Source organism: Homo sapiens, chromosome 12 (genome assembly GCF_000001405.40).
Source record: "Homo sapiens chromosome 12, GRCh38.p14 Primary Assembly".
NCBI classification, from domain to species: Eukaryota; Metazoa; Chordata; class Mammalia; order Primates; family Hominidae; genus Homo; species Homo sapiens.
Window position 1 is genome coordinate 103,976,736 of NC_000012.12, and position 18,116 is coordinate 103,994,851.

General features: G+C 39.0%; 2 protein-coding genes across 24 annotated transcripts in view; one reads left to right on the forward strand and one right to left on the reverse strand.

Moving 5' to 3' along the window:
* Positions 1–12,139, forward strand: part of TDG (thymine DNA glycosylase) — a 23,003-nt gene extending 10,864 nt beyond the window's left edge. For 2 of the 6 annotated variants that reach the window (NM_003211.6, XM_047429486.1), the window contains exons 2-10: positions 183–325; positions 3,096–3,337; positions 4,158–4,227; positions 6,064–6,199; positions 6,401–6,483; positions 6,560–6,654; positions 8,014–8,185; positions 8,868–8,993; positions 10,213–12,139. In NM_003211.6, the coding sequence (NP_003202.3) occupies positions 183–325; positions 3,096–3,337; positions 4,158–4,227; positions 6,064–6,199; positions 6,401–6,483; positions 6,560–6,654; positions 8,014–8,185; positions 8,868–8,993; positions 10,213–10,355 (1,210 nt within the window). In that variant the 3' untranslated portion in view covers positions 10,356–12,139. Of the gene's footprint in view, positions 1–182; positions 326–3,095; positions 3,338–3,419; positions 3,893–4,157; positions 4,228–6,063; positions 6,200–6,400; positions 6,484–6,559; positions 6,655–8,013; positions 8,186–8,867; positions 8,994–10,212 lie in introns of those variants that run through there. The other 4 variants (XM_047429488.1, NM_001363612.2, XM_047429487.1 and 1 more) reach the window with 4 other exon arrangements.
* A 112-nt stretch (positions 12,140–12,251) lies between these two features.
* The window catches only part of GLT8D2 (glycosyltransferase 8 domain containing 2), a 75,451-nt gene continuing 69,586 nt past the window's right edge, over positions 12,252–18,116 (reverse strand). For all 18 annotated transcript variants that reach the window (NM_001384713.1, NM_001384719.1, NM_001384718.1 and 15 more), the window contains 3 exons: positions 17,600–17,766; positions 16,657–16,769; positions 12,252–12,842 (listed from right to left, as the gene is read on the reverse strand). In NM_001384713.1, the coding sequence (NP_001371642.1) occupies positions 12,673–12,842; positions 16,657–16,769; positions 17,600–17,766 (450 nt within the window). In that variant the 3' untranslated portion in view covers positions 12,252–12,672. The remainder of the gene's footprint in view (positions 12,843–16,656; positions 16,770–17,599; positions 17,767–18,116) is intronic.

Genomic DNA, 18,116 nt, shown 5'->3' on the forward strand with positions numbered 1-18,116 from the left:
GTAAAGGTTGGTGAACATGTACATACAGGACTAGATCTCTCCTCTGTAATCCACTCTAAATAAATACTTCAGTCTGGTTACAAAATACTTAATACTGTACTGAAGATTTTTGTACAGCTGATCATTTGGATTTACATTTGGGTAATTTTATCATTACATCTCATGCTTCATTATTCTTTCAGCTATTCCCTTCAGCAAGCTCAAGCTTTTTATACGTTTCCATTTCAACAACTGATGGCTGAAGCTCCTAATATGGCAGTTGTGAATGAACAGCAAATGCCAGAAGAAGTTCCAGCCCCAGCTCCTGCTCAGGAACCAGTGCAAGGTAGTTTCACCATGAGAGCTTAGAAAGTTCAACATCGGATCAGCCAGCTTATTTGAGAAAGGGTTTCATGGTGAATTTTAGCTCTATTTTAGTGTTAAAAAGTCAAATCCACTTTTTAAGTACTTAGTATGTGCTAAGCACTGATAGGTTCTGGGGAATAAAAGAACATGGGTCCTGCCCAAAAATATCTCATAATCTAGTAGAGAAAAGTAATAAGTAAATACACGTTACAGCTCAGCACAGTTTGTAGTGAAGAGGGGCATAGAATGAATGCCCTGAAAGCTTATGGGGTTGGCTTCTAACTCAGACTGATGGCTCAGAGGCTGCTTCCCAGAGCAGAGAAATAACACCAGGGCTCTGAAACTCCAACAATGTGGAGGCTTCATCCCGATAAAGATCAGAGTAGGGACATGTCCAGGCTGAGGGAGCTATACAGGCTGGGTACAGACACACACAAGCATGGCATGGCCAGAAACAGAGCAATTCTGTGTCCTTGGAGTCTGGGATATAACAAGGAAATGGTGAGAGGTGAGGCTGGATGGGGACAGTTGAAACTTGTTTTTTAATCCCAAAGAATTTATATTCTATCATGAAGGCAATAGGGAGCTGTTGAGAGAATGTAAGCAAGGGATGACTTACTTGACTGGTGCTTTACAAATTAGCCTGGAAATATTAGAGAAGATAGATTGGTTGGTAGACAACAAGTCGGAACTTGGAGGCAGGCCGGGCACAGTGGCTCATACCTGTAATCCCTGCACTTTGGAAGGCTGAGGCGGGTAGATCACCTGAGGTCAGGAGTTCATGACCAGCCTGGCGAACATGGCAAAACCCTGCCTCACACAAATTAGCCGGGCATGGTGGCGCACACCTGTGATTCCAGCTACTGGGGAGGCTGAGGCACGAGAATTGCTTGAATCCTGGAGGCGGAGGCTGAGAGGCTGCAGTGAGCCAAGATTGCACCACTGCACTCCAGCTGGGCAATAGTGCGAGACTCTGTCTCAAAAACAAAAACAAAAACAAAAACAAAAACAAAACTTGGAGTCAAGGAGTGGATTAGATGGATTAGAGACACTGTTTGAATAATCTAGGGGAGCACTGAGGAGGACCTGAAGGGGTGGAGAAAGAATTAGGAAACACTTAGGAGGTAGAATTACCTAGCCATGGCTAATGGGTTTCATGTGTTTGGGGGGAGCATGGCAGGATAGTGGGGGAGAAAGGGGAGTCCAGAAGTAACTACCAGGTTTCTGGCATTGGCATTTGGTTGGAGGAGGTGCCACTCACCAAGACAGAGAATTAGAAGAAAATAATAGGTTCCAGGGGTGGGAGAGTGGTTGGAGAGAAGTTAATGATTTTCTCCAGTGTAACAGTATTTTATGAGAAATGTGCTCAGGGTTTTGGTTTATGATTGCAGGAACACATCTAATAACTCTGCCTCCGCATTAGGACTTCCCCAGCTACATGCCAGTGATGGTGGATCTGTTGGCATAGGGAGTGGCTAAGACAATGTGAGGCAGAAGAGAGGAGGGACTGACTGCCTGTATCCTGCGAGGCTTGATTGGGGAAACGCCAAAGAGGAGTAGAATAGGGTAGAAGCCTGAGTAGTTAGGAGAAATGTTAAATAATTAAGGGTAAGAAAATCAGGGCTTCCTGTTGGGTAACTATAGGTCAGTGGTTTTCAATCAAGGGTGATTTTGCCCTCCCAAGGGACATTTGACATTGTCTGAAGACACTTTTGATGATCAAGACTGGCAGGTTACTACTGGCATCTAGTGGGTAGAGATCAGGGGTGCTATTAAACATTCTGTAATGTGCAGTACAGCCACCCACAACAAAAAATTATGCAACCTAAAATGTCAATAGTGTGGAGGCTGAGAAACTGCTTTACGTCCTGAGGTTGGATCCCTCCTCTTGCCTTTTGAAAAATACTGCCAGCCCAGAGATGTCATCCTGGGCACCCCTAAATTCCCCTCTTCAACTATGTATGGAACAGAATATACACCTCATCTCTAAAACAAGCCCACAAGCCATTGTGTTTTTCTTTTTTCTTTCTTTTTTTTTTTTGGACAGAGTCTTGCTCTGTTGCCCAGGCTGGAATGCAGAGGCATGATCTCAGCTCACTGCAACCTCCACCTCTTGGGTTCAAGCAATTCTCCTGCCTCAGCTTCCCGAGTAGTTGGAATTACAGGTGCACGACACCATGCCTGGCTAATTTTTGTATTTTTAGTAAAGACGGGGGTTTCACCATGTTGGCCAGGCTGGTCTTGAACTCCTGACGTCAGGTGATCTGCCTGCCTTGGCCTCCCAAAGTGCTGGGATTACAGACATGAGCCACCATACCTGGCCCATTTGTGGTTTTCTACTGGGGAAGTTGAGTTAAAATGTTTCCCTTCCTTCCTGTTTCTCTATTTTTCTGTTCTTATTTAATTATTTATGTATTTACATTTAGAATTTATATAAAATGATATGTAGATACTTTGTATCCTTGAGGAGGTTAAGATGCCAAGTAATACTGTGTCGAAAATAATAGTCTATGATTATTCTTCCCACGAACAGCTAGCAGGGGAAGGAGAGTGGCATGGGGGGTTGCACGAACCCAGTTCTAGGGAGAAAGAAAGGGAAGATATTGCAGAGGAGACTCATGTTGGGACTGTAAGAGCTTAATTTTGGGGAGACAGGTACAAAAGGTGCTAGTTGGGTAACTTTTCTGGGAAAGCTGCTAAAGTTTCTAAGTTAAGATTTTCTGCATTTCTGGAAATTATTTGTATTTCAGAGGCTCCAAAAGGAAGAAAAAGAAAACCCAGAACAACAGAACCAAAACAACCAGTGGAACCCAAAAAACCTGTTGAGTCAAAAAAATCTGGCAAGTCTGCAAAATCAAAAGAAAAACAAGAAAAAATTACAGACACATTTAAAGTAAAAAGAAAAGTAGACCGTTTTAATGGTGTTTCAGAAGCTGAACTTCTGACCAAGACTCTCCCCGATATTTTGACCTTCAATCTGGACATTGTCATTGTAAGATCTTTGTCCTCGTTGGATTTTATAAGTAGTATTGGGGGATCAGCTTTACTTAACAGTTGTCCTTGCAAATAGCATTTTGCTGAAAAGGACCATTTCTAAGAATCCTTTTGGTGGTAAATGGTGTCAGCTTCATGAGGTTGTGTTATATGAGAGTGTTTAAGAGGGTGGGCTCCAAATTTAGACTGTCTGGGTTCAAATCCTGTCACAAGTATAATCTTGGATAAGTCTTATTAACCTTTCTAAACACCGGTTTTCTCATTGATAAACCAGGGGTGATAATACCACCCCCCGATAGGGTTGCAAGTAAATGAGAGAATCCATGTGAATCACTTCAACTGAATGATGCCTGTGGAGACCTGATACATGGCAGCACTAATTTTAAGCTCTTATTTTTCTCAGTAACTGTAAGAAACATCAGCATGTGAACAATTGTGTAGGTGATGTGGAGCGAGCTTCTTGTTGAAAGTTGAGAATCAGAATTGTGGCTGGACATGGGCTCAGATTGATTGTTCCAGGACCTGTCTTTCCAGACTCAAAGCAGCCCAGTTGGTGAGGGTGCGAGGCCTGGGATCATAAAGGAGTCAAACTGGTTTTTTAAAATAACAGCAAAACTTTTAAAATAAAGAAAATCTCTTTCCCATATATGAAATACTTTGTTCAGATCAAGAGTAGTAATTGATAAATGATATTGCTTATGATGCTGAATTAAATTTGTATTTTAATCAACTCAATTTTGTCCACCACTCCTCCATAGAAACGCTAAGGCTTAGGTCCTGCTTTTTAAGATGAAATGTCTAATTGTTTTGTTTTATAGATTGGCATAAACCCGGGACTAATGGCTGCTTACAAAGGGCATCATTACCCTGGACCTGGAAACCATTTTTGTAAGTGGTTACCTTTTAAATTAATTTACTTTTAAATTAGGTATCTTTGTTAACAGGTTTTTTCAGAAAAACCAATTGTGTTTTTAAAAAGAAAGAGACTGTAAATACACATTCGTGTTTCATGTTCTGTGTGTGTGTCTGTACGTGAAAATAAGAGAGTTTGAAATGATATGTTACTGTTAACATTTTAGTCTATGAGAATGGAGGGATGTGAATAAGAGTACTTTCTCTTTTGTTTGAATTGTTTCTAATGAGTTGTACTACTTTTTTTTTTTTTTTTTTTTTTTTTTGAGATGGAGTTTCGCTCTTTTTGCGCAGACTGGAGTGCAATGGCGCGATCTCGGCTCACCACAATCTCCACCTCCCAGGTTCAAGTGATTCTCCTGCCTCAGCCTCCCTAGTAGCTGGGATTACAGGCATGTACCACCACGCCTGGTTAATTTTGTATTTTTAGTAGAGACGGGGTGTCTCCATGTTGGTCAGGCTGGTCTCGAACTCCCGGCCTCAGGTGATCTGCCCACCTCAGCCTCCCAAAGTGCTGGGATTACAGGCGTGAGCTACAACGCCCAGCCAAGTTGTATTACTTTTTAAAAATGATTTTTTAAAAGTTGTTATCTATAGGCATAGTAACGATAGTATAGTACATCTTTGTGGCAGTGCAGACATAATACTAACTTTCCCAGATTTCTGGTGATTATTTTCTAGCAGAGCATAAAATAGTAGTAAAGACTCATATTTTTAGAGTAAGTTTTAAAACCAAGTGTTGGCTGGATCTGGTGGCTCACACCTGTAATCCCAACACTTTGGGAGGCCAAAGCAGGAGGATCACTTGAGGCCAGGAGTTTGAGACTAGCCTGTACAACATACCAAGATCTCATTTCTACAAAAAAATAAATAAAAAATTAGCTGAGTGCTGTGGTGCACACCTGTAGTTCCAGCTACTACGGAGGCTGGGTTGGGAAAATTGCTTGAGCCTGAGAGGTTGAGGCTGCAGTTAGCCATAATTACTCCACTGCACTCCAGCCTAGGTGACAGAACTAGACCCTGTATCACAAAAACAAACAAGAAAACAAACAAAAAACAAGCGTAACTACTGTTGCATTGCCTTCTCTATATAAGTTGTCTTGTATATAAATCATCTTATTTTATACTGCCTAATAGATCAGTGTATGCAGTATACGCTCAGGAAATTGATTATCTAATAGTAACATTCAAAACATTTAGGGCAACTGATAGTAATGTGGTTTTGGAACTAATAATAACATATTGTCCCTATTATTTTAAAAAATTCCTTTTTAAGGGAAGTTTGGACTTTTGACTTTCTTCACTGTCAAGGTGTTTGAATGTTGTTAGTCTAGTGCTGTATGTTTACGTGTGAGGTGGTGGTATCACCAATTGTAAAGCAAAATAGTCTCAAAGTTTCCTAAACTGAGTTGCTATATATTCTTGGGCAGGCATTTGCCTCAACCCCCTGTGAAAAGGAGATAATAATAGTATCTTGCAAGATAATTATGATGATTAAATCCAAGCGCTGTGGCTCACACCTGTAATCCCAGCAATTTTGGAGGCTGAGGTGGGAAGATCACTTGAGCCCAGGAATTCAAGACCAGCCTGGGCAACATGGTGAAACCCTGTCTACAAACAATACAAAAATTAGCTGGGCGTGGTGGTGTGCATCTGGGGTTCCAGCCACTCAGGAGGCTGAAGTGGGAGGATTGCTTGAGCCTCGGTGGTCGAGGCTGCACTGAGCCATGATCGTGCCACTACACTCTAGCCTGGGTGACAGAGCGAGACCCTGTCTAAAAAAAAATAAATAACTGAATTTTCATTTTACAGGGAAGTGTTTGTTTATGTCAGGGCTCAGTGAGGTCCAGCTGAACCATATGGATGATCACACTCTACCAGGGAAGTATGGTATTGGATTTACCAACATGGTGGAAAGGACCACGCCCGGCAGCAAAGATCTCTCCAGGTAAGTACACAGCATTTGCTTTTATGGGTTGGAACCTTGAGTATGCTGGTGCCCCAAATATTCTAGGAACATCATATGTATCTAGTTCAAGCTGAGCTCAACAAATGTACAATATGCTCTTTCATTGAAAGCTGTCTGAATTTAGCATATTATAAATATTGTCATATTTATATTTTTGACTACTTTTTAATTCAATTTTAGTAAAGAATTTCGTGAAGGAGGACGTATTCTAGTACAGAAATTACAGAAATATCAGCCACGAATAGCAGTGTTTAATGGAAAATGTAAGATTTACTTTTAAATTTTTTTTTTCTTTGCTAACATTATGGGCAATGTAAATATGTTTGTATTTCATTTTAGGTATTTATGAAATTTTTAGTAAAGAAGTTTTTGGAGTAAAGGTTAAGAACTTGGAATTTGGGCTTCAGCCCCATAAGATTCCAGACACAGAAACTGTAAGTCCCTAAAATTGAATTTGTAAATCAGCTAAATGTGAATTTTTTTCTAGATAATTTCCTTATTTGTCCTATCCATTGTGATTTATACCATGCAAAACAATTACACTGTATTTTGTTGAATAATACCTATACATCAGCTTTAACTAATAGTTGTAAATTAATTCAAATACTATTAGGGTTTATTAGAAAGAAAAACATTTGTCAGCTAAATGTCTTGATGTTGTTATTCAGTGAAAATATTGAGAGGAACTGGCTCATATACTACATTCAGAATACATTTAATGGCATGTAGTTGTCAAATTCAAATGGTTTAGCCCTCGTACTGTTGTGAAACAAACATGGAAACACAGACATGATCCTGATTAGGAAAACCAGTTGCCCCATTTATATATCTTAGCTCAACTTCATTTTAGAGCCATATAAATAATACAACCCAGACAAGCCTCCAGCCAACCTAACTGGCATTCAATACTGTTGTCTTATACACAAAGTCATCATGAAATAACAGTGTTTTTCAAATTGTCCTCTCTACAGAGCTTCTGCAGGCATTTGGTTCCAATTTTGCTTCTTAGTTTTAGGTTTTATTTACAACTTTTAAAGAACAACACAGTGCACAGATTTACATGTTGTATATACAACATCTTAACTGATGGAGAAGCTAATTTGCTGCCAGGTTTTTGTGGAAACCTAAAAATGTTTCTGCCACCTAAATATATTTAAATTTCTCCTTTAAAATTGTTTTTGTTCATAATTTCTTATAAATATGCAATTGATGAGTTTTATTATAGCATTGGTTTTTGCTTAAATAAAGGCCCACCTTTGTCTGCTTGGTTAAAATGGTACAAATTCACTACCTGTAGTGAATTGTAGAGAAATTCCTGTAGAGTACTGTGTCATTCTCTGTTACATGCCATTTGGAGGCCGGGCGTGGTGGCTCATGCCTATAATCCCAGCACTTTGGGAGGCCGAGGCAGGCGGATCACCTGAGGTTAGGAGTTCGAGACCAGCCTGGCCAACATGGTGAAACCCCATCTCCACTAAAAAATACAAAAATTAGCCAGGCATGGTGGCATGCGCTGTAATCCCAGCTACGTAGGAGGCTGAGGCAGAAGAATCGCTTGAACCCAGGAGGCAGCTCATTAGGCGGAGGCTCATTATTTTTCACTTCCTGACTTGGTAATAAGTCAGTATTACAAATTCAACCTTAAAAGCAACTACTTTTATTGATTTTTACATATATTTATATGTAGTTAAGTATCAAGTTATTAACCCAAATAAAGACAAATATTCTAATCTCAATGAGTGAATTCAATAGAATTATAAGATTTCTGAAATTATAAAATGTTGTGATTCTAGCTCTGCTATGTTATGCCATCATCCAGTGCAAGATGTGCTCAGTTTCCTCGAGCCCAAGACAAAGTTCATTACTACATAAAACTGAAGGACTTAAGAGATCAGTTGAAAGGCATTGAACGAAATATGGACGTTCAAGAGGTGCAATATACATTTGACCTACAGCTTGCCCAAGGTATGTTACTGTCCTCATTCCTTTTATTCATTTTGTGTGTGTATATATACACATATATACTTACATATATATACACATATACATATATACATATACACATATACATATGTGTGCACATATATGCACACGTGTATATATACATGTGTATATATACATATATACACATAAGTATGTATGTCTATATACATATATGTGTGTATACACTTGTGTGCGTATACATATGTGTGTGTCTATATATAGACACATACACACACACACACACACACACACACACACACACACACACACATTACAGAAAGTATCTTATGGATTTAAAAGCAGGAAAAAAGAAAACAATTATATTCGCAGCCAGAGTGCTCTGATAATGAATATTAGTCACTGTTAAAATCTCCTTTTACCAAGGTCTTCCCTCTACTCTGGCACTTCTGCAGATAATTCACCTGCAGAGTGCCAGAGCAGAGGGATGTAAGAAATATTGTACCCTACGTAAAGTTGAATGTAAGCGGTTTTTACAGTTCTTATGTGTTTATTTAGTACATGCTATAAGTTTAAAAGATTAATAGAGATGTATCTCAGTGTATATGAATATTCAAGAAAAAGAATTGTTCATGATTTCTGAATAAAGCTACTTTTAAAATTGTTGTACAAAATCAGATTTAAATCCTTTTTACCTTCCTCACAGAGGATGCAAAGAAGATGGCTGTTAAGGAAGAAAAATATGATCCAGGTTATGAGGCAGCATATGGTGGTGCTTACGGAGAAAATCCATGCAGCAGTGAACCTTGTGGCTTCTCTTCAAATGGGCTAAGTATGGTTCCCTCCACATGTGTATTCCTTTCAAAGACGGTTTGGTCAGGATTGGGGGGAAAATTTTAATAGAAGGAGAGTAAATTATTGAAGAATGGGAATGATAATATGAAATTTTATTTAGTGACTAATAGTGAAAAATTGATGGTTATTTCACGTTGAATTACACAGACTTTTACAGTACATTTTCTTTTTTGTTTGTTTGTTTTTGAGACAGATTCTCGCTGTGTCACCCAGGCTAGAGTGCAGTGGCTCGATCTTGGCTCACTGCAAGCTCCCCCTCCTGGGTTCACACCATTCTCCTGCCTCAGCCTCCCGAGTAGCTGGGACTACAGGCATCCGCCACGATGCCTGGCTAATTTTTTTTGTATTTTTAATAGAGACAGGGTTTCACCGTGTTAGCCAGGTTGGTCTCGATCTCCTGACCTCGTGATCTGCCCACCTTGGCCTCCAAAAGTGCTGGGATTACAGGCATGAGCCACCGCACCCGGCCTACAGTGCATTTTCTTTAAGTCATGAACTCTAGGCCATCCTAGTTGCATTTTCCTCCTTTAATAACAAATGAGTCCTGTATCTGAAGAACAGAAACTTAACAGTTGTATTCCGGAAGCTTGCTTAACTATTTTAATAATAATTCTCCTTCACTAGACTGTTAAAATCTCCTACTTTGATCATTTAAAACTTCCAGGCCGGGCATGGTGGTTCACGCCTGTAATCCCAGCAGTTTGAGAGGCTGAGGTGGGTGGATCATTTGAGGTCAGGAGTTCGAGACCAGCCTGGCCAACATGGTGAAACCCCATCTCTACTAAAATATACAAAAATTAGCATGGTGGCAGGTATAATCCTAGCTACTTGGGAGGCTGAGGCAGGAGTATCATTATATATAATATATATGCCTCTCCTCGATCCCGGGAGGCAGAGGCTGTAGTGAGCCGAAATCACACCACTGGACTCCAGCCTGGGTGACAGAATGAGACACCGTCTCAAAAAGAAAAAAAAAAACTTCAAATAAGCTGATACGGTGGCTCACACCTGTAATCCCAGTGCTTTGAGAGGCTAGGATGGGAGGATCACTCAAGCCCAGGAGTTTGAGGCTGCAAAGAGCTGTGATCATGCCACTGCATTCCAGCCTGGGCGATAGAGTAAGACCCAGTCTCTACTTTAAAAAAAGCAAATATTTCTAAATGGCATAAACTAACTTTGTTTTTCTTTTCTGGCAGTTGAGAGCGTGGAGTTAAGAGGAGAATCAGCTTTCAGTGGCATTCCTAATGGGCAGTGGATGACCCAGTCATTTACAGACCAAATTCCTTCCTTTAGTAATCACTGTGGAACACAAGAACAGGAAGAAGAAAGCCATGCTTAAGAATGGTGCTTCTCAGCTCTGCTTAAATGCTGCAGTTTTAATGCAGTTGTCAACAAGTAGAACCTCAGTTTGCTAACTGAAGTGTTTTATTAGTATTTTACTCTAGTGGTGTAATTGTAATGTAGAACAGTTGTGTGGTAGTGTGAACCGTATGAACCTAAGTAGTTTGGAAGAAAAAGTAGGGTTTTTGTATACTAGCTTTTGTATTTGAATTAATTATCATTCCAGCTTTTTATATACTATATTTCATTTATGAAGAAATTGATTTTCTTTTGGGAGTCACTTTTAATCTGTAATTTTAAAATACAAGTCTGAATATTTATAGTTGATTCTTAACTGCATAAACCTAGATATACCATTATCCCTTTTATACCTAAGAAGGGCATGCTAATAATTACCACTGTCAAAGAGGCAAAGGTGTTGATTTTTGTATATGAAGTTAAGCCTCAGTGGAGTCTCATTTGTTAGTTTTTAGTGGTAACTAAGGGTAAACTCAGGGTTCCCTGAGCTATATGCACACTCAGACCTCTTTGCTTTACCAGTGGTGTTTGTGAGTTGCTCAGTAGTAAAAACTGGCCCTTACCTGACAGAGCCCTGGCTTTGACCTGCTCAGCCCTGTGTGTTAATCCTCTAGTAGCCAATTAACTACTCTGGGGTGGCAGGTTCCAGAGAATGCAGTAGACCTTTTGCCACTCATCTGTGTTTTACTTGAGACATGTAAATATGATAGGGAAGGAACTGAATTTCTCCATTCATATTTATAACCATTCTAGTTTTATCTTCCTTGGCTTTAAGAGTGTGCCATGGAAAGTGATAAGAAATGAACTTCTAGGCTAAGCAAAAAGATGCTGGAGATATTTGATACTCTCATTTAAACTGGTGCTTTATGTACATGAGATGTACTAAAATAAGTAATATAGAATTTTTCTTGCTAGGTAAATCCAGTAAGCCAATAATTTTAAAGATTCTTTATCTGCATCATTGCTGTTTGTTACTATAAATTAAATGAACCTCATGGAAAGGTTGAGGTGTATACCTTTGTGATTTTCTAATGAGTTTTCCATGGTGCTACAAATAATCCAGACTACCAGGTCTGGTAGATATTAAAGCTGGGTACTAAGAAATGTTATTTGCATCCTCTCAGTTACTCCTGAATATTCTGATTTCATACGTACCCAGGGAGCATGCTGTTTTGTCAATCAATATAAAATATTTATGAGGTCTCCCCCACCCCCAGGAGGTTATATGATTGCTCTTCTCTTTATAATAAGAGAAACAAATTCTTATTGTGAATCTTAACATGCTTTTTAGCTGTGGCTATGATGGATTTTATTTTTTCCTAGGTCAAGCTGTGTAAAAGTCATTTATGTTATTTAAATGATGTACTGTACTGCTGTTTACATGGACGTTTTGTGCGGGTGCTTTGAAGTGCCTTGCATCAGGGATTAGGAGCAATTAAATTATTTTTTCACGGGACTGTGTAAAGCATGTAACTAGGTATTGCTTTGGTATATAACTATTGTAGCTTTACAAGAGATTGTTTTATTTGAATGGGGAAAATACCCTTTAAATTATGACGGACATCCACTAGAGATGGGTTTGAGGATTTTCCAAGCGTGTAATAATGATGTTTTTCCTAACATGACAGATGAGTAGTAAATGTTGATATATCCTATACATGACAGTGTGAGACTTTTTCATTAAATAATATTGAAAGATTTTAAAATTCATTTGAAAGTCTGATGGCTTTTACAATAAAAGATATTAAGAATTGTTATCCTTAACTTACGGGCTTTTTCTATAGCAAGACTGAGTGGTATTCTTTCCCCTTTAAACCTGAGGTCAGTTTACCTTCTATTATATTTAACATGTAGAATAGTAACATGATAAAAATCATAAAAATGATGAATATTTTATTTTTCAGACGTCCATATTTTAAATGTAATAGTTTTATAAAAGAAAAGGTTGGCAACCTGTTAAGGAGATCTTCATGTGAAAAATACATGTAGAAGTTTTAAAAATTTGTGGATATAATTGTCATTCAGAATTAAGCAGGTTGATTGCTGTTATCTAGATGGGTCTCTTCCTTTATGTTTTTCAGTCACATAATCTTGATTTCCATAGTTATCACATGTACTTAAAGAAGTTAATCAATGCCTATATGGTCCAAGGTATAATTTGCACACAGTAGTTTTTGGTTTTTATATTGTGGATCATATGTATCAAAGGTAATATTCATAAAGAACAATGTTATAGTTGGCTACAAAGGGACAATTCCACATTTCTATACAGGGAATATTTTAAGGGTAGAGTTATATCAGCTATGGTGATTGAGTTTAAATATCCCTGCAGGGTCAGGAACAAACCAGCTTTCCCATAAGTCGTTGTGAACACTAGGGAAGTCCCAAGGTTTATGTCTTCCATTCCAGTGGAGTAATTTAGCTTCCTGCAGAAAATGCTCCGAATATCTGGCATCTGGATTCCAGCCTTCATTGTGTATAGAGAAAAAATAATAGGCTTGTTAGAGAATAACATTTTTGTATTATAAATTGAATACAAGTTCATAGTTTAAAAAAAGGTAAACAAATAAAAAGGTTATACAGTGAATTTTCTACCCACCCCAGGTCTCCAAATCAACCACTGTTAGTCTCTTGTGAATCCTTCTAGTAGTGTTATAGCATTGTTTGACCTGTATGCATGTATATGTATATTTAAAGACAGAAGACAAAATAGAGCATACTGCTACCTTGCCTTTAAAAAAAAATTATTTTGTTTCTTTATGTGGACATTGCCTTTTAAAATTACTGTCTTGGGAAACTTTCCACAGCAGTACATGTGGATTTACCAAATTATTTTTAGTGACTGTATAGAATGATACTATTTATTGACCAAGTTCCTTATTAAGGACATTTAGATTGTTTCTATCCTATTATTAGCATAAACACAGCAATGAGCAGCCCTCTATGTATGTCTAGTGTATGTGTACAAATATATATATATATATATATATATATATATATATATATATATATATATATATATATGTAGGATAAAATATTGTAGGTGGAATTGCTAGATTGAAGGTTGTGTGCCTTTTCAATTTTGATAGAGATTGCCGCATTGTCCCCCAAGAAGTTCTATTAATTTCCCTCCCACCCAAGAGTTTATAGGGGTTCTTTTTTCTCTGCATTTCACCTCCTTAATGAAAAATGGCAACATTTGCTTTTGAACAGTCTTGTCTAAATATAAAATGTGACTAAGATCTACTTTTTAAACAAACAGCTATCTATCTCCACCTGAACATTACTCCCCTCATAAGTCATGACTTCGAGAGACTATGCATTTACCCTAACAGTGCCATTGCTTAGAATACTCTTTAGAATACCTATTCTAGAACTACATTAAGGTGGCGTGAATGTACAATTTTTTAAAAATCTCTATAGTGTTCGACTTTCTTTCCATGAAAAGGAATTTGATATATATATTCTTTAAACAGCTGAAAGTCCATTGAATTACGAGAGGGTTGATTTGCTAGGGTTATGTTATTCTATTGTATGACGTTAACAACAACACAACCTGGCTTCTGTTACTAATAAACATAGCTGTGACGGCAGCTGCAGAAGAGAAACTAGTTGTTTGAAACTATCGCAGCATAACTGGAATAATTATCAATCATCAGAGTCTATGCAAAGGAAATATTCATTTGGGAAGAGGCACCTTCCCATGAAAAGTCTCTACTAAGTAGGACATCCTCACCTCTCAGCTTCGTAACTGAAGGGCTATGCAGAACTACCTCAGAGGGGCTTGCAGTTTGGGTGATGAAATTGCTTTTAGCTAAATATATTTTGTAAATTTAAAAAATCTTAAGCCTGCCTGTTTAGACCCAAACTTAATGCCCATTAGTGTTATGTTGCCCTTCTGCCTCCAGAACATCCTGAAACCTCATTTTTCAAATGATTTTTGTGTAGATTTACTTTGCACACCATCCCTGATTCCAAAACCTTCAGCACAGATGGAAGCTCTGTCCTACAAAGAAAAACGACATCTTTCCTTTGGGAAGAGTATGTCCCTTCCTACTTGTCAGTAAAGTGGATATTTCTCTTTTTTTTCTTTTGAGATGGAGTCTAGCTCTGTCACCCAGACTGGAGTGCAGTGGCATGATTTCTGCTCAGTTCAATCTCTGCCTCCCAGGTTTAGGCTATTCTCCTGCATCAGCCTCCCGAATAACTGGGATTACAGGTGTGTGCCACCATGCCCAGCTAATTTTTCATATTTTTAGTAGAGATGGGGTTTCACCATGTTGGCCAGGCTGGTCTTGAACTCCTGACCTCAAGTGATCCACCCGCTTCAACCTCCCAAAGTACTGGGATTATAGGCATGAGCCATCATGCCTGGCCTAAGTTGCATGTTTCATAAAATGTAATTCTGAGTCTGTCTCAAGATCATAAAATGCCGTAACCTTATTGATCTAAGCTCTGCATAACTGTTCCTACACATATTTAAAAATAGACCTTCTACTTTGATGGGATCTGCACATGGAAAGGTTGATATTTGACCTAATGTTGAACCCAACATGACTATAAATCAAATCAGACACAACACTAACTTCCCTGTGGCACTCTTTTGTGCATATACATGCTCAGGAAAATCAGAGGATTCTGGGAATGATGCAGAAGCAACCCACAGAATCATCGAGAGCATACAGGAACTCAGCCTCCACAATTACGTCCTTTAAAAAAAAAAAAAAAAAAAAAAGATTATGGGACATAACACCTTGCAGGGTTGTTGTGAGAATTAGAAATAATATTCACCTTCCTTAACAGAACCTAGTCCAGTTCTTGGCAATGTAATGGACACTTGGTAAATATAAGTGCATATCCATTGCCTACAATTCTAAGATAATCCCCAAAGGTCTGAAAACAAAAGGTTTTTTAATAACTTCTTTGGCAGTAAAACCTAGATCCCACTCAGCACCACATTACCTTTTTAAAATCCAAACCCTTTCTAAACTTCCAAACATGTCTGGCCCAGCGGTTTTGGATCAGGGATTGTGGCCATGTGTTAGAGTGGATGTGAATGTGTCCTCTATGCTAGGCTCTATGCTAAGCAATTTACATGTATTCCGTAACCTGCCCCAAATCATAGTTGGGATTCCAGTTCATACTCTAAACCCTACACTTGTGTAGTGAGTAAAAGACTTAGAGAACTCACAGAGTACAGAGTCAACTGCTTTTTAAAGGATAAATTTTAATGGCAGCTTTCTGAATTCATCCTAAGCCATTATGCTAATTTATTTGGTTTTGTCCACTGTAAGTTACTGCAAGAGAAAATAAAAGTGTGGCTTGACAGTTCAATAAGGTTTTGAAGTTTTGACAGTGAAAGTTCTCTCTCTCTCTCTCTCTTTTTTTTTTTTTTTTTTGAGATAGAGTTTCGGTCCTGTCGCCCAGGCTGGAGTGCAGTGGCGCAATCGTAGCTCACTGCAACCTCTGCCTTCCAGGTCCAAGCGATTCTCCTGCCTCAGCCTCCCGAGTAGCTGGGATTGCAGGTGCCTGCCCCCATGCCCAGCGAATTTTTATATTTTTAGCAGAGACGGGTTTCACCACGTTGGTCAGGTTGGTCTTGAACTCCTAACCTCAGGTTATCCACCCTCCTCAGCCTCCCAAAGTGCTGGGATTACAAGCGTGAGCCACCACGCCCGGCCGAAAGTTCTCTTTATAATAGTTCATGTTTACTAAGCACATACTATATGCTAAGCATGAATTTGATGGCTTTCCATAAATCTCCAGAAACACGCTCCTCAGGTAGCTCAGAATATCAGCTGCACTTGCTGAATCTGAGCACTGAGGGTCAAGTCATTTGTCCAAGGTCACCTGGAGGATTTCAATTGAACAACCTGGTGCTGTATGTAGCACCCTCTCCTCGCTATGGTGCTCACTGGGTCTATAAAATGCACATTTGCGGCCGGGCATGGTGGCTTATGCCGTAATCCTAGCACTTTGGGAGGCCGAAATGGGTGGATCACCTAAGGTCAGGAGTTTGAGACCAGCCTGGCCAACATGGTGAAACCCCATCTGTACTAAAAATACAGAAATTAGCTGGGCGTGATGGCACATGCCTGTAATCCCAGCTACTCGAGATGCTGAGGCAGGTGAATTGCTTGAACCCAGGAAGCGGAGGTTCCAGTGAGCCGAGATCACGCCATTGCACTCCAGCCTGGGCAGCAGAGCGAGACTCTGTCTCAAAAATACAAAAATAAAATGGACATTTGCGTTTTTCTAAACAGTTTTTCTGAAATACTTACCCAGGTGCCTTATGTGCCACAGGGGGTTAATTGTGGAATATTTCCCATGAAACACAATCAGCATTGGGGAGGTGGCCACCCCTCCTCCCAGGGAGCTGCTATAGAGGTTTTCCCTAAGAAATGAAATAGAAAAACAACATTTGGCCTGGAGCCCCCACAAACTCAGATAAAGTCGAATCTGATATTGTAAATGATGTAAGACATTATCTCACTATGTACTAAGACTTATGGCCTTTCATTCTCCCCCAAATTTTCATTTTGAAAATTGTCAAACATACACAAAATAGTAAGAATACCATGAACTCCTATATACATCACCTAGAGTAACAGTGTTAATATTTTGCCATTTTAACTCCCAGGGTTTTAAATAGTAGACACAGGAGATCAAATTCGAATCCTACATTATTTAGAATAACTTTACTTGCAAATTCAAGGTTATGATGGTATTAAAATATCCAGATACACAAGACTGCTAGGCAATACAATGATGGGATAATAGTGCTTGTATTAGACTTATTTTTATCTTCTCTATTTTAAAACTCCGATAACGAAAAATTATAAATTATAAAAATAAACCTTAAAAAGCAAAATTGACTTTATATAATAATCCTTAATAAAAAAATCTATGTTAGGAGGGGAAACTCAACTAAGATAAATGAAGATTGTTTGGTGGAAAAGATTCAAGTCACATTTTTCAACAGCTTACTAGGAAAATGTATAATCAGGGACTCCTCGCTCCACAGGATCTTGATTCCTCTGATTTATATCTTTTGAGGAAAGGTTTTAATTGACTGCCCCCTTTTCTTTCTTAACATTGCCTCTGTAAGAAAATCTGACCTGAGATGACTGTGAAATATTTCTAACCCTTGAACTATGTGTGGAAAATTAATTGAATGATTTTGTTTCCAAGCATGGAAAAAATGGTAGAGAAGCCTTCACGTACTCCACATTCTTTTGCATCCATTTCTCCAATTGCTTGGTGATGCGCTGGTGCTTCCATTCTGTCATGTTGGCAACAATCACACCAGGATTGAAAGAGCAGGTGCTGGGGCTGATGCCAAGGTCCTTGATGGCCTTCTTCCGGTAGTCCAGATAGCCCATATATGTGTTCTGTAAGGGAACAGGATGTGCATGCTTTTGACCAGCGAATCTTTTGTTTCTGGAAAATGATCATTTTCTTGAAACCCTTGTGCAGTATCTTTGGGTTTCCTCCTGTGTCACTGGCCACTGGGTAGTTTGTTGTTTTTGTTTTGTTTTGCTGGTTTCCCTCATTTCTCCAACCTCTAAATGCTGAATGCCCTAAGTCTGAGTGCAGCACTAGTGCCTTTCTCTAGCAATAACTCCATAAACAGCCTTGTCCAGTCTCATGGCTCTAAATACCACCCATCTGACAGCCCTGACCTCTCCTCTGGACTTCCAACTCCTGCTACATCTGCCATCCAAATGTCTCCTTTCAGATG